Below are 16,547 nucleotides of genomic sequence, written 5' to 3'. Positions count from 1 at the left end.
ATAAAGCTCTTTGTGGAATTCTGGGAGGAATATTAACAGTGTAAATATTTGTCCACGTACAGGGGTCCTTCCTCAAGGGGATCCAGCCTTCCCTTCATTCAGGGTATTCTGAGTCTGTAAAGTGGTTCATGTCTGGAAGTGATTGTGAGTGAGGAGCCATAGTTCTGTTTTCATGATAAACTATTTCCCCTCCTCCATGACGCCAGCTTTCACTGGGCTCATTAACACCATTTCCTTCCCTGGCCCCTGCAGCCCCAAGAGTACTAATAGCTCCCTGATGTTGCTAGTCCCTGGGTGCCTCACTATCCTTTGTTGGTTTTCTTATCATGGCTCTGACATAGTCTCTTCACAAATCAGTTCTACTCTTCAGAATATGCTGTGTTTCTTCTGTGTTTCTTGCCAGAACCCCTTGACTGATCCACTCTTACTTGCTTGTGTTTTAAATTAAAGTCTATTTCTGCTTTCCTGTTTCTCTTCTCTACCTCTCAGACAATTAATCTGGAGCCTTAACTGGTGACAGTCTAATGATATTTCTGCTTCATTTTGGCTTGGATTATTTATCTTGCAGGAATTAAAAGAATTAAAAGGCAAGGAATAAGCTATTGCATCTGGTGCTTCCTACAGTTAAAAAAAAAAAAAAAAAAAAAAGAAAAGAAAAGAAAAGCACAACGCCTAATGGGGCTCTTTGGATTTTGGAGGCAACATATTCCCCAACTGGGTGTGTAACTCCAGCCCATTTGCCAAGTAACTCATCCTACCAAACATATTATATAGTTAGCTTTTTTATAGAGCTTTCTCTGACTTTTCCCTCCACTCCCAAGCAGGTTTAAATGTTTCCTTCTCTTTGCTAGCAGTTATTACATATTCCTTCATCATAATACTTATCACATTGTTCTGTGACTGTTTATATACACCTCTCTCCACTAGACTATAATTCCTGTGGGACTGTGTCCTATTTATCTTTCTACCCCAGCATCTAACACATGCATAGTCCATAGCAGTTATTCAGTAAGCTTATGATAAATGAGTTAGACAGGGAAGCTAGATTCCTCTATAATCCAGGTACACTCTAAAGGTAAATCCACTATCAATCAACAAGTCTATAAATTGCCAGTGTTCGATGCCAAAAAAGTTTTCTCCAATATTAGTTGGAAACACACATGCATTTGAAACTTTCCAGTCTTTTTGGCTCATCCATATTCCTTAACAATACCTTAGTTGAACCCTCCACCCAGCATAGGACCACAGAAACACACATTTACAGAGTTTAAGTACAAGAATCTCCTATACACACACATGGACATTGTCATACTCCCCAGCCCAGGTAAATCAAAGGGAAGCATTCTTTTCTCCAGCTTCTCCAACCTGGAAACACAAGCAGAGGCAGTGAAATTCCATACCTAATACAATTTATCCTCTCTTGCCTATTTTCTGTAAGCTAACTTTGGAATCTTAAGGTTTTAAGATAGATCCTAAATACTAAACACCTCTATGAAAATGCTATTTTAAAGAGTTTTGCAAGGTTACACTCTGGGAGGCTTCAGTTCATGTGCCTTTAGCTTCCACAAAACCTATGTCAATCTGTTGTTTTCTACTCCATATGGTCTGGAAAATAACTCCTCCCTTTTCCACTGCAGGAAGCTAACTCTACAGCAGAAGCAGTGAGTCACAAGGACAAGAACCAAATGATATGGACGACCCCATCACAACAACTCAAGCTGGTGTAAACATTCTCACATGGCATGAGAATGAAACATAATGCAGTGCTCCCTCTCCCCAGACCTGGGTCACATTCCTCTATGGATTAAATGCAATAGCAGTTAGGTTTTAATTGCATTCCTTTGAGCAATGTCATTTATTTTACCTGTTGTTTACCATTAAATTTATGTCCTGGAAGATGTTGATAAAACTACAAGAAGGAAAGTATCCTTTTGCTATGGTTTGAATAGCAAACCAAAATTTGTGTTGAAATTTTATCCCAAATGTGGCAGAGAATTAGTCCATTCTCATGCTGCTAATAAGGACATACCCAAGACTCGGTAATTGATAAAGGAAAGATGTTTAATTGACTCACAGTTCAGCATGGTTGGGGAGGCCTCAGAAAACTTACAATCATGGTGGAAGGGGAACCAAACACGTCCTCCTTCACATGGTGGCAAGAGAGACAAGTGCAGAGAAAAGGAGGGGAAAGCCCCTTATAAAATCATCAACTCTCATGAGAACTCACTCACTATCATCAGAACAGCATGGAGGTAACCGCCCCCATGATTCAATTACCTCCCACTAAGTCCTTCCCATGACCCATGGGGATTATAGGATACCTGAGAACTTTGACATGTTTCTGACATGCCCTGAAAACAGCTGCCACATTGCCTCAGTGATTAACATTCGGCTCCTCATCACATATGCAAATTTCAGCAGCCGGCTTGAATTTCTCCCAAGAAAATGGGTTTTTCTTTTCTGTCACATAATCAGGCTGCAAATTTTCCAAACTTTTATGCTCTGCTTCCTCTTGAACACCTTGCCACTTAGAAATTGCTTCTGTCAGATTCCCTAAATCATCTCTCTCAAGTTTAAAGTTTCACAGATCTCTAGGGCAGGGGCAAAATGCCGCCAGTCTCTTTGCATAGCAAGAGTGACATTTACTCCAGTTTCCAACAAGTTCCTCATCTCCATCTGAGACCACCTCAGCCTGGACTTTATTGCCCATATCACTATCAGCATTTTAGTCAAAGCCATTCGACAAGTCTCTAGGAAGTTCCAAACTTTCCCACTTCTTCCTGCCTTCTTAGCCCTCCAAGTCTCTAAGAGTTTCCAAACTTTCCCACATTTTCCTGTCTTCTGAGCCCTCCAAATGGTTTCAACCTCTGCCTGTTACCCAGTTCCAAAGTTACTTCCACATTTTCAGGTACCTTTACAGCAGCGCCCCACTCTCTGTGGTACCAATTTACTGTATTAGTCCCTTCTCCCACCTCTATAAGGACATATCTGAGACTGGGTAATTTATAAAGGAAGGAGGTTTAATTGACTCACAGTTCCACAGGGCGGGGGAGGCCTCAAGAAACTTACAATCATGGTGGAAGGGGAAGCAAACACGTCCTTCTTCACATGGCAGCAGGAGATGTGCAGAGAGAAGTGGGGGAAAGCCCCTTCTAAAACCATCAGATCTCATGAGATCTCATCAGATCTCATAAGAACTCACTCAATATCATAAGAACATGATATGGAGGTAACCGCTGCCATGATTCAATTACCTCCCATGGGGTTTTTTCCATGACATGCAGGGATTATGGGAGCTACAATTCAGTATGAGATTTAGGTGCGGACACAGCCAAAACCATATCAGGCAGTATTGAGAAGTGAAGCATTTAAGAGGTGATTGGGTCATGAGGGCTCTGCCCTCATGAATGACTTAGTCTATTCACAGATTAATGAAATAGTGAGTTATCATTGGAAGGGAACTGTGGCTATATAGGAAAAGGAAGAAAAACCTAAGCTAGCATGTTAGCGCACTCAGCCCCCTTGCCACGTGATGCTCTGCACTGCCTCAGGACTCTGCAGCATCCCCATTAGCAAGAAAATGTGGCATATATACACCACGGAATACTATGCAGCCATAAAAAATGATGAGTTCATATCCTTTGTAGGGACATGGATGAAATTGGAAATCATCATTCTCAGTAAACTATCACAAGGACAAAAAACCAAACACCGCATGTTCTCACTCATAGGTGGGAATTGAACAATGAGAACACATGGACACAGGAAGGGGAACATCACACTCTGGGGACTGTTGTGGGGTAGGGGGAAGGGGGGAGGGATAGCATTAGAAGATATACCTAATGCTAAATGACGAGTTAATGGGTGCAGCACACCAGCATGGCACATGTATACATATGTAACTAACCTGCATATTGTGCACATGTACCCTAAAACTTAAAGTATAATAATAATAAAATAAAATAAAATAAAAAAACAAAAAAACAAAAAAAAAAGAATCAAAACTTAAAAAAAAAAAAAAAGGCTCTTACCAGATGCAGCTGCTGAACTCTGGACCTCTCATCTCCCATAACTGTAGGAAATAAATTCCTTTTCTTTATAAATTAGCCAGTTTCAAGTATTCTGTTATAGCAAGAGAAAACAAACTGAGACACCTTTCTTATTGCCAACTACTCCCTTTTAGCTTGTTATACTCTAGCCACCCTGAACTGGTTAGTGAGGAATTATTTAAAGCCCTCAAATGTGACATTGGTCTCCTTTGCATATACAGATGGCTTATGCCAAGAAAATTCTCCTAAACCAGAAGGTGAATAGAAACTAGTTTAGAGAAATGCAATAACAGTCAAATTTAAATTATCCTCAAGGGGGAGTAGCATAGGAGATGTCTTGATAGTATGACAGACAGCACTGGAATTAAATTGAATGCAATGAATTGAGTGAAGAGGGATGATAAAGTGTGAGGAACCCTGCTCAACACCTTCCTTTTAGTATCCTATCTCATTTAATCCATTTAATCATTTAATAATTTAATCTATGGCTGGTAGGTATGATTAACCTCGTTTTACAAATAAGGAAACTGGGACTCAAAAGGGCAAGTAAGGGACTGAAGCTTTACTGTATTTTAACTAAATGAACCTTTGAGTTAATAGGATTGGTGATGGGGATGGGAGGGTTTCTGCTCCAAACAAATTAATCTTCTCATTGCTTTCATCATCCTGCCCCACCCAAACATGTATTCTACTTTTTCATTTCTGTGCCTTTGCTTCTTTCCTCCCTGAAATGTCCTTCCCACTGCCGTCTCTGCTAATCTAAACCTCAGATCCCAGCTCCAATTCCATTTCTTCTGAGAAGGCTTATCAGATTGTTCTGTGCACAGAGAATATACCCTTGCTGAACTTCCATGGCCTTTTTTTCTATGTTTTGCTCACATGACACTTGTCATATTTTAGCTATTTGTCATATTTTAGCTATCTTTCCAAGTGTGTGTCTTTTCTTTCCAACTAGCTTATAAGCAGCCCAAGACCAGGTACAGTACTTGATCTTGATTTTAGCAGCCCCTGTGTTTCCCATCATTCTTTTTTTTTTCAGAGCAGGAGTGAAAGTTTATTTAAAAGCTTTAGAACAGTAAGGAAAGGAAGGAAAAGTAAAGTAAAGTACAACTTGCGGGAGGGCCAAGTGGGCAACTTGAGAAACCAAGTGCACTTCTTGAGAAACCAATTGGGCCTCATCATTATTTATTTTGTTTTATTTTTATTTTGAGACAGAATCTCACTCTGTCACCCAGGCGTGCAATGGCACAATCGCGGCTCACTGCAACCTCTGCTTCCTGGGTTCTAGTGATTCTCATGCCTGTCTCCCCAGTAGCTGGGACTACAGGCACCTGGCTAGTTTTTGTGTTTTTAGTAGAGACAGGGTTTCCATGTTACTCAAGGTGGTCTGGAACTCCTGGGCTCAGGTGATCCACCCACCTCAGCCTCCCAAAGTACTGGGATTACAGGCATGAGCCACATGCCCGGCACACCCCATCATTCTTAAAGATAATTCTGAGCACCCAGTATAATACCAACATATAATACACATTTAGGGAGAAAGGAGTGAACAGTTTTTAGAAGAAACATTTCAAAACATTTCAGAACACGTCTACTGAAGAAACATTTCAAAACATGTAGAAATGTTAGATGTTGTGGGAAGATCAATAAGTGTCTTGTACATGTATATGTCCTATGATTCTGTAGTATTGCTAGGTTCTCATTTGCCATAGAAAAAGTAAATCTATTTACTAAAATTATTAACTAAATAAAATTAAGAAATAACTAAATTCTTCTATAAGAGTTTTCAATAGCAACAGCTGAAACAAACACACAAAAAGGACAAATCACCATAACCTGAGTTAACTGGATTATCCTATTTTGTACATAAGCTTCCCTTACATGGCTTCATTTTTCCTTGAAAGAGAATGTACCTTTCTAAAAAGGTGTTGAGAGTCAAAGGGCATTCGCCTGGGACCCAACAAGCTACTTGGATGGCCCTGTTTTCCAACCACAAGCCATAGAAAGAGTGATAGAGTTGAGGAAGGTAGTCAGAAACAGTCAAAATCTCAACTGAGTGAGAAAAATAAACTTAAAGAAAACCCAGGCCAAACAAACAGCTTCACTGAATGACCCACTCCTTCAAGGGAATTGCCCATTCTTTAGAATCATAAATCCTTTTTCTTTCTTTCCTTTGTCATGTTACATGATTAAGTCTTCTAGTTAACAAGAAAAACATCCAACTTACTTATGTTCAATAAATTCCCATGAAAAGGACAAAAACTGGAAATGTTTTCAAGCTGAGAAGCATTAAAAAAAAAAATCAAAAGCATCCATCAAACCATTCTGAACCAAATTAAGGCATTTAGCACCATCTTGGCAACCTGAGCCATATGCCCTACCCTGTCCACCCAGCAAGGACCATCTAAGAAACCACAGGAAGCTCATCCCAGCCTCCTTCAGCAACATTCCTCAGTCTCAGATCAGGCCCAACCCAGCCTGGGATATCCCAGACACAGACCTCAGAATGTAACCTACATATGTTCTTCAGTATTAGGTTATTTCACTATCAAAGCCTCTTTTACGAAAAATTTAGGGGTAAAAAATAGGGAAGAAAAAAATCACCTATAATTATACTTTTTAAGCTAGCAAAAGATTAATAAAAGTCTAGACAGATTTCTCCCTCGAAACCTTCCCTCACCTCCCAACCAATTCTCATCTCACCAAATGGCATTACCATCCACCAATGAGGCTAGAAAGGCTGCATATATTTAGCAGTCAGCCTATATTTCTCTATATATATCCAATTAACCAGAATTTTTCTAATAGCTTTCACATTTATTCTTATAACATCTCCACTTCATCAAATATTTAAAGGGGTTAACATTTTGAAAATATTAAACCAATGTTCTTTTTTGTTGTTCTTTAACTATTATAGCCCCAGAGAATTACCCCTATGGCAAGGAGAGGATTATGACAAAGAGGAAGTGCCAACAAGACAGGAAAACACAAAAAGCTTACTTGTCTAGCCTCTATGGCAAGCTTGTCCAGTCCATGGCCTACCAGCCACATGTAGCCCAGGACAGCTTTGAATGAGGCCCAACACAAATTTGTAAACTTTCTTAAAACATTATGAGAGTTTTTTGCAATTTTTTTTAAAGCTCATCAGCTATTGCTAGTGTTCGTGTACTTTATGTGTGGCCCAAGACAATTCTTCTTCTTCCAGTGTGGCTTAGGGAAGCCAAAAGATTGGACACCCCTATTCTAGAGAATTGTGAAGGAGAGAGAAACAGGGGAAGCATGTAGTATAAGAAAAAATAAACCTCTGGGGTTGTAAGCCATCAAGATTGGAAAATACTTTGTCACAGCAGCAGTACCTAGCCTATCCTGACTGCTATTCTGGGTTACACCACACCCAGAAAGCCCTGATAAGCAGATTGATGCTATCTCCAGCATCACCTAGAGGCATTCCAAGCTGACAATCTCTTGCTCTGCCTTTTCTCTATCTCCTGTAGAGGTGTCATAATGCTCAAATCACTCATAAGAAGTTAGAATAGGTATGGCTCCATGTTTGGAAGAAAACAAGAGTATGGTTTTCAAGATTTATGTGAATCTTAGGTTATAACTTGAGGTTCAAGTCTCACCATTCCCAGGTATACTCCGTGCCTCATCAATTCACATCTCCCTGCCTTCTGTCCCCTCCCAACCACTACCAATCATCAGCAGGAAATGTACCTGTGTAAACCATGTCTAGCCTTCCTTTCACCTGTCCTCATTTCTGTTCTTACTTCCCATCAGAGATCTAGATTTAATAATTCTTGTTTTCTTCTCTCACAGTCAACATTTTAGAAAACATGACCAGTATCTCCTACAAAAGAAGCCTGATTTTAATCATTGTTTTCTACCAATGACCAGAAAATATACTTCTTGTGGCCTCCATAATATCACTGTAACATCTCTTACCCTACAAATTGTCTTTTCAAAAGCAGGACATGGTGTGTCCTAAAATTTAAGCTTCCAATGTAAACAGTTACATTTTCATTGAGATGAATAGGTTTGCCCTTTCCACTGTTGCAAATAAACCGAAAACAGTACACTACTCCCTGGCTCACCATCATTAACTTTTAACAGACAATCCACCTCGTATTAGCAACGATTGAAGGAGCCATGCAAAGATTGAACAATGAGACAGGCTTTGCAGCAATCCCTCAAGGGCAAGGAGACTTTGCAGACAAGGTACCTAATTCCAAGAGTAAGAGAAACTAAATCATTCTTTCAGGTTCTTCTTGGCTTTTTGGGTTCTGTGGTTCTGTGATAATGCAACAAAGCTATTCTAAAGCCACTTAAGTCAGGTTAAGAGATTTTTTAGTTTAAAATTCTATACTTACTGGAATTGTTAGAATTTAGGGCCCACAAAATTAAAAAAAAAAAAAACTCCAATACCCTTGTATGTCAGAGGATAATTAAATATATTTGCTCATAGGAAGAGAGAGAAATAAAGTTTTTTTATTTAAAACAAAAGCAAAAATGTAATTGATTCAAAGTAAATTGAATGACTGATCTTTAGAAAAAAATTATTTCTTAAAAAAATAAACATTTAGTGGCACTTACTATCTGGCATTCTTCTAAGTCTTACAACCACTCTGTGAGGCTGATAGACCCATTTTATGGATTGCAAAAAGGAAACACAGAGAAGTAATTTTCTCAAGGTTATACAGGTAGTAATTGAAAAACGCCAGGATTCAACCCAGGAATCTGGTCCTAGACTCTGTGATTTTACTCACTCCGCTGCCACTTAACTAAGAGATCTTGAATAGAAATTTCAGGTTGACTAGAGATTTCTGGAAATCTTCGAAGAATTTCGGGACCCAGAATGACTTTTAGGCATATCTCCTGATAATAACCCACCAAGAGATCATTCAACCTGTGCTAGAACATCTCCACCAGTAAGAAACTCACTATGTATCAAGACGACTCATTGAACAAATGTAGTTATTAGTAAGTTCTTGATTCTGTTATGATAAAATCTATTTTTGTTACAATAAAATATTTTCTTGTTGCATCATCTATTAATTTTGATTCTATTCTTTTGAGTATGTAGTATAAATCTAAGCTCTCATTCTCATGTCTTCCCTTCAAATATATGAAGAATCATATATCATATATAGTTTCAAGAATCATTACGAGCCTCATCACTGTCCCCTAAACATAATCTAGTTTGTCTGCATCACTCTTAAAGTGGGCTGCATATAACTGAACAAAGTACTAAAGCATGGTCTGATCAAGGCTGGATATGACAATACCTTCAATTTCCTTAACTCCAAGTTTCTTAACAATATTATGTACAAGAGACACTAACTCTTTTGAGTGAGTCATATCACATCAACAATTCATATTGAACTATCACTTATTGAACTATACATAAAATACAGTATAGTTCCAAAAGAGTACAGAAAACATATGTACAGTGTGAAGAACTAGAATAGAAATCAACATCTGTGTATTCACAACTCAACTTTAGAAATATAACACTAAAGTGGTAGAAACCTCCACATACATCTCTCTGTTTGAGGCTCTCTTCCCGTTCCCCAAAGTAAGCATTAGATGGTATTTTGTGTTCATTTCCATGTGTTTTTCATTATGGTTTTACCAAACATGTGTCCTTAAACAATAAATTGCTTAATTTTACCTTAAAAATATTTTATAAATGGAGTCATAATGTGTTTATTCTTGTTTCACTCAATATTATGTTATGGAGAGTCATCCTTTAAGTTCATTTTATACCTTTCACTGCCAAGAGGAATCTATCCAAATTTTTCCCATAGGGTGAATAAAATTTTACATTTATCTCTGTTACATAGAATATACCCATCTCTTTCATCTTAGAAAACATCTTACTGAGTAAGAAAAACCTTAAATTGGTATAGGGGTACTGCCCACACTGTAACCCCTGGATCCCTTCAAACACAGAAGCCCCAAGTCTTAAAGGAATTGCTTGAGAAGTAACTACGCTTCCATGATTTAAACTACATACTGAACAAAATGGTCTTTAATTAAAAATAAAAAAGTCAGGTGCCTAATAAATTTAAAGCTGATTTTGATTAAGCTCAAAGGCAAATTATAATTTTATATTATTTACCACAGGTGTAAAGTATGCACATTTAGTTTTTTTGAGCAAATAGATTTCTTTAATTAACATTTTCAAGTGATCTTAGCACAGAAAGTCATTATGCCACTTGAAAATAAGGAACTTTTAATTATTATGCAGGATATTTTTAGTTATCCTCCATAATAATTAAAGGACTATAATTCTTGGTAAATATAGAAGCAACACTAAATTCCTAGAATCAGATAATGTGGAAACTCTGAAAATCCGTTTAATTCTCTCTCTCTCTCTCCATCTCTGTCTCGCTCTCTGTTTCTCTCTTCTCTCTCTTCTCTCTCTCTCTCTCTCTCTCTCTCTCACACACACACACACACACACAGAAACATAATACATTATAGTAAATTACGGTAAAGGACTATAATTCTTGATAAATATGGAGGCAACACTAAATTCCTAGAATCAGATAACATGGAAACTCAAACTCCATGTTTAATTATATCTGTCTCTCTCTCTGTGTCTTTCTCTCTTTCTCTTCTCCCCCACCACCACGCACACAAACACACACTCCTGAAACTCATAAGTAGATGAAACAATACCCCGAGGTACCCTTTAAAAATCAGAACTGCTAGTCTGCAGGAAAAGAGCTTAATTTCCTCTCTTTTCCCCTTCTAATCTTCTAGTGGAGGTGCCAAATAGCAGCAGAAACATCAAAAGGCAAATGAAAAGGAGGACAGAGGAGAAAAGATCCTGGTTCATGCCTGTCATTTCCATGCAATCTTTTATCACACATTGACTAGGCATAATAGGGAGGTGTCAATAAGTAATGACCTTAGGACAGTAGAGGGGATCACTTACCTATCATTTTAGATCAAGGAGCCCCTGTTATCCAATAGTGGGAGAATAAACACTGATAAACACACCTCACTACTGTATTTATTTAAAAGCAAAGCTAATATACAGCAGGGAGAATGTTCAAAAACCATTATCCTGTCCTGTCCTACTAAGAATAACATGTCTACAATCCCTATTAATTTTTTCAACCAATAGATAGGTACATATTCAACTTGAATGAAAAGCCAACAAATCATCTAGAAATATTCTTATTTTCCACCAATGTTTTGATGAAACCTGATGGTTTAGGTATGTAGAAAAATACATTAGTCAGGATAGGCAACTGCAATAACAAACCACCCCTAAAAACCTCACTGGCTTGTACCAAAAATAGTTTACTGCGGCTCACACTACTTGCCAGGGCTCTTATCAATTGTCGGGTCAAAAAGATCTCTTCCCCAATTATTCAGGATGATGAAGGCTCTACCATATGGCCTTCTTGGTCAATAGAGAAAAGTAAAAGATAGATGGAGACGTTTGTGTGGACTCTTCTAAGATTCATATCAGAGGCAATATATGTCATTTCGAGCCCATTGACCACAACTAACCACATGACTCAACCCAACTGCAAGAATTCTAGGAAATTTGGGGGAACATTACTGTCTTTGCCATAAAACAGTATCCAAATCCAGACTTTATGATGGTAGAAAGTTAGCAATCTCTCATTTTTTTAACCTCCTTTCTCTACCAGAGAAACATTCATGAAAACCCAATAAGAAAGGCAAATTTTCAATAGCCCAGGAAACTAGCAGTGTTCATCAATGATCTATCTGAATGCAATAAAAAATTCTACTAGTCAAAAGGCAGAAAACCTGTAAACAATTTGCAGAGGCATGTGGACAAAAATACATTAGAATAAATTCATCCATTTAGTCCGGGTTTTTGCGTTTAAAGTTTGCCTTGGCTGGCCTTGGTTGATTCAGAGTTGCTGCCAAAAGCAGCCTGGGATATTTCATTACCTCCTCAATCAGCTACTCATACCAGTCTCTGCAGTTCAATTTAACTGTGAGTACAGATAGCTGGGAAGAGCTTTAGAGGCTTGACATTTCCTCTTAGTGAGAAATTTAGTAGGATAAGAAAATTTCTTGTTAGGCAATCAGAATTCACATGAAATAAAAGACTGGAAAACACTATAAAATAGGTAAGGAGCTATGCATATCAACCAGTCTCCCAGCTTATGATATGAGGTTCCTAGCAGCAAGTGATGGGAAGCTGGCACAAATCAAAGAGAATCCAGCAACCTTTTATAACTGATATTGTCCTAATAAGTAGTTTGGGATATAAGCAATGACCTCTGAGTAATTGTTTTAAAAAAGGTACTGAATGGAGGAAGAGAGTAGAACAATATTGACCATCTTAGAAAACAGCTGTAATGCAACACTAAGCTCTATTTGCCCAGATTAGTAGGAACCTTTACTATCGGTTCCCTAGAGATCCCCATTCCTGAGTCTAAAAACCCTCCAGGATGCTAACTCATCTTATAGAACAGTCTTGCCTGCTTCTCCTTGATTCTGATACCAGAAATAAGATGCATTTCCTTGAGGATAGAAGATCTACTATAGTTTCTGAAATCTGGTTGAGAGGCGGGGACTCCCTTCTCTCCAGACCCTACTCGTGGAATACAGGGTGTACCTTGGTGCCACTGAAAATACTGCGGCCTCAGTTGCCCTTTCCCTGGCTCATGGGGCAAGGGTGTGATAAAAGAAAAACTTCAGCCAAATTAAACTTAAAGGAGTTTAATTGAGCAATGAATGATTCATGATTCGGGCAGCCCCCAGAATCACAGCAGATTCACAGACTCCAGGGGTGTCTCCTGGTCAGAAAAAATGTATAGACAAAAATGTTAAAGTGACACACAGGAATCAGAAGTGAGGTACACAAACAGCGAGATTGGCTACAGCTCCACGTTTGCCTTATTTGAACCCATGCCTATTAAGAGGGAGACATTTCTAATTATTGCCTCTTGTATTCTAAACCATGGAAAAAGGACCTAACAAATTATGTCCTTCTAGAAGAGTGAAGGCCTCCTGGCAATGTTCTCTTTAATCCATGATGTGGGTTAAGAGGAGTTTTGACTGATTATGAGTCAACATATGTACCACTAAAGTTTCTCACCCACCTTGGGCCTTCATCTTTTATCTATTAAAGTATAAGTTTATTTATGTATAAGGCTGGCTTCCCGCAAAATCCTTCACAAATAAAATTATACCCTATAAGTGCACATTATAGACCCACTTTTCATTTCTGTTGCTCATAGAGGCATAAACAAGGTAAAAATATTCAAAGGTAAGAGTCTCATGATAGTAGAAGTTTTGACCTGTGATCTTGGGAAAAGCTGTTCACATCAAGGATGCCATCTTTTTCTGGGGAGAAACTTTCCTGGTTAGTTTTACCTTAAGAGTTCCAATGGGTGTACAGTTCCAGGAGTATGGAGGGACCCTTCTCAGTTGTGAGATTATAAATCCAAGGTTCAAGGCTCCAAAGTTTTACTGTAGTGTGGATGGCAAAGATAGTCTTTCTCTGATGTTTTCAGAAGATCCAATCTACGGGTTCCCGATTGTGAAGGTCTTTACCTGGTGAAAATACATGGTAGCACAATAATCTACTGTTACATCAGCCCTCTTGCATGGGAAAGCTTTTATACAACCAGAAAACATGCAGTGAAAATGACAATTGAATGAAATCTCTTTATAAATGTTTAAATGACACATTAGGTAGCCAAATGTACCTGAAGCTTTGATTGCCTTCCCAGGAATATGAAACCAAACATTGGTTTTAAAATATTTCCACTATCTATAAGTCACCACATCAGTATATTCTATTTGGATTATTTTATCTTTTCCGTGATGAGTCATGGAATGCAGAACCTTTAGTAACAAGAGCTTTAAGGACTCGGGAAGGACTAGGAGGCTGTCCTGGTTCTTCATGAGTCCATGCTTAACATCAGACTCATGTCCTCTTGAATACCAGTTGTTTCTCCAATTTAGATGCATAGCACTGATAACTAATGGGTTATCATAGGTAATTTGACTTAGACCAGGGAGTTCATTTAAATTGTATATTTAAACAATTTTAGTATTGGCTGATTTAGCATGATAATCTAGAGCTTGATTTTGAAAGGTTTGTTAAATACCAAATGTTTAAAACATTGGATATTACCAAATAGAATCTTAGGTTACCATAAGTCATTCATTTAGCCAAAATGATAACTCAAAAATTTTTAAAAGGACAAAACATTCTGATAAAGAGGAGACTCAGCTTTCCAAGCAAGACCCAATGAAGATAGCATTAGGACAATTGACTCTGTCTCCTTTCTTTCCTTCCCTCCACTTTTCCCTTTTGTAGCTTACTTAAAAGGTAAACTAAAACCTTTTATCTTTTAATATTACATAAAAATCCTTTTTAAAAGAGAAAAACAAATTTTATGTTCCCATTAGTGTATTTTTTATGTTAAAGCTAGTTTTTAATGACATTTTATAAATCTATTGTTTTAATTAGTTTGACCATAAGGTAAGATTTTCATAAACCTTTTATAACCCTTTACAACTTTTTTTCTCAGAGCAGAACAATGTTCTAAGAAAACTCTGTTGTTCTTCTATTCCAATGTCCAATTTATAGAAAAAAAATGAATAATGCCATTTTAACTTTAGCCAATACATTCACACATAGAATCTCTTGTAATTAATTTTTATAAACCATTCACAACTTGTTCTAACCTTTAGCTTTTTAATTCAAAATAAATCTTTAACCCTCTAACCTAGACAAAAATTTACATTCCCATACTTTCTTATAATCTCTCACAAAAACACATTTTATTCCCTTTACAAACCTTGTATGTAAACTTATTTTTTCAGTAGTCTCAATTACATATTAAAATGTTAACTCTTAGCATCTTTTACTTTTGGTGAAAACCTTGGTAAGGGATTTTAATTATGTACTAGGTGTGGAGCCTACGACCCAAACAGAAATGCAGATAAGATCTGAGCCTTTCCAGTGTCTAACTCCATGTGTCCCAGGCCTTACCCAGCTGTAGAGTAGGCAAGCTGTACAGTTAAGAGTCATAGTGGCATTTTATGAAGCATTTAGGAAGCCTAATCACCTTTAAATTGTAAAACGGGGGAAGAGCCAAGATGGCCGAATAGGAACAGCTCCAGTCTACAGCTCCCAGCATGAGCGACGCAGAAGACGGGTGATTTCTGCATTTCCATCTGAGGTACAGGGTTCATCTCACTAGGGAGTGCCAGACAGTGGTCGCAGGTCAGTGGGTGCACGCACCGTGCGCGAGCCGAAGCAGGGTGACGCATTGCCTCACTTGGGAAGCGCAAGGGGTCAGGGAGTTCCCTTTCCGAGTCAAAGAAAGGGGTGACGGACGCACCTGGAAAATCGGGCCACTTCCACCCGAATACTGCGCTTTTCCGACGGGCTTAAAAAACGGCGCACCACGAGATTATATCCGGCACCTGGCTTGGAGGGTCCTACGCCCACGGAGTCTCACTGATTGATAGCACAGCAGTCTGAGATCAAACTGCAAGGCGGCAGCGAGGCTGGGGGAGGGGCGCCCGCCATTGCCCAGGCTTGCTTAGGAAGCTCCAACTGGGTGGAGCCCACCACAGCTCAAGGAGGCCTGCCTGCCTCTGTAGGCTCCACCTCTGGGGGCAGGGCACAGACAAACAAAAAGACAGCAGTAACCTCTGCAGACTTAAATGTCCCTGTCTGACAGCTTTGAAGAGAGCAGTGGTTCTCCCAGCACGCAGCTGGAGATCTGAGAACGGGCAGACTGCCTCCTCAAGTGGGTCCCTGACCCCTGACCCCCAAGCAGCCTAACTGGGAGGCACCCCCCAGCAGGGGCACACTGACACCTCACAGGGCAGGGTATTCCAACAGACCTGCAGCTGAGGGTCCTGTCTGTTAGAAGGAAAACTAACAAACAGAAAGGACATCCACACCAAAAATCCATCTGTACATCACCATCATCAAAGACCAAAAGTAGATAAAACCACAAAGATGGGGAAAAAACAGAAAAGAAAAACTGGAAACTCTAAAAAGCAGAGCGCCTCTCCTCCTCCAAAGAAACGCAGTTCCTCACCAGCAACAGAACAAAGCTGGATGGAGAATGACTTTGACGAGCTGAGAGAAGAAGTCTTCAGACGATCAAATTACTCTGAGCTACGGGAGGACATTCAAACCAAAGGCAAAGAAGTTGAAAACTTTGAAAAAAATTTAGAAGAATGTATAACTAGAATAACCAATACAGAGAAGTGCTTAAAGGAGCTGATGGAGCTGAAAACCAAGGCTCGAGAACTACGTGAAGAATGCAGAAGCCTCAGGAGCTGATGCAATCAACTGGAAGAAAGGGTATCAGTAATGGAAGATGAAATGAATGAAATGAAGCAATAAGGGAAGTTTAGAGAAAAAAGAAAAGAAAAGAGCAAAGCCTCCAAGAAATATGGGACTATGTGAAAAGACCAAATCTACGTCTGATTGGTGTACCTGAAAGTGATGGGGAGAATGGAACCAAGTTG

At 38.8% G+C, this 16,547-nt stretch overlaps 1 long non-coding RNA gene across 1 annotated transcript in view, besides 3 other annotated features; it reads right to left on the bottom strand.

Moving 5' to 3' along the window:
• LINC02456 (long intergenic non-protein coding RNA 2456) overlaps positions 1 to 16,547 on the bottom strand; it is a 432,422-nt gene that overhangs the window by 383,087 nt on the left and 32,788 nt on the right. Inside the window, exon 5 of the long non-coding RNA XR_007063427.1 lies at positions 13,419 to 13,598. This is a non-coding gene — a long non-coding RNA (long intergenic non-protein coding RNA 2456). The remainder of the gene's footprint in view (positions 1 to 13,418; positions 13,599 to 16,547) is intronic.
• Positions 1,641 to 1,810: an enhancer, noted in NCBI's record as "experimental_23014 CRE fragment used in MPRA reporter constructs". NCBI's record gives its function as "activates a minimal promoter by MPRAs in K562 erythroleukemia cells, with activity observed for both the introgressed and non-introgressed 12:102720962 variant alleles {active_cell/tissue: K562}" and the evidence as "EXISTENCE:reporter gene assay evidence [ECO:0000049][PMID:34662402]".
• Positions 5,951 to 6,692: an enhancer, noted in NCBI's record as "OCT4-NANOG hESC enhancer chr12:102715995-102716736 (GRCh37/hg19 assembly coordinates)". NCBI's record gives its function as "activates a minimal SCP1, AML or CMV promoter by ChIP-STARR-seq in primed H9 embryonic stem cells {active_cell/tissue: H9 hESC(primed)}" and the evidence as "EXISTENCE:reporter gene assay evidence [ECO:0000049][PMID:30033119]".
• Positions 15,472 to 16,007: an enhancer, noted in NCBI's record as "H3K4me1 hESC enhancer chr12:102706680-102707215 (GRCh37/hg19 assembly coordinates)". NCBI's record gives its function as "activates a minimal SCP1, AML or CMV promoter by ChIP-STARR-seq in naive H9 embryonic stem cells {active_cell/tissue: H9 hESC(naive)}" and the evidence as "EXISTENCE:reporter gene assay evidence [ECO:0000049][PMID:30033119]".

Source organism: Homo sapiens, chromosome 12, assembly GCF_000001405.40.
Source record: "Homo sapiens chromosome 12, GRCh38.p14 Primary Assembly".
In the NCBI taxonomy this organism is placed as follows: domain Eukaryota; kingdom Metazoa; phylum Chordata; class Mammalia; order Primates; family Hominidae; genus Homo; species Homo sapiens.
This window is presented reverse-complemented; position numbering and strand designations above follow the sequence as displayed.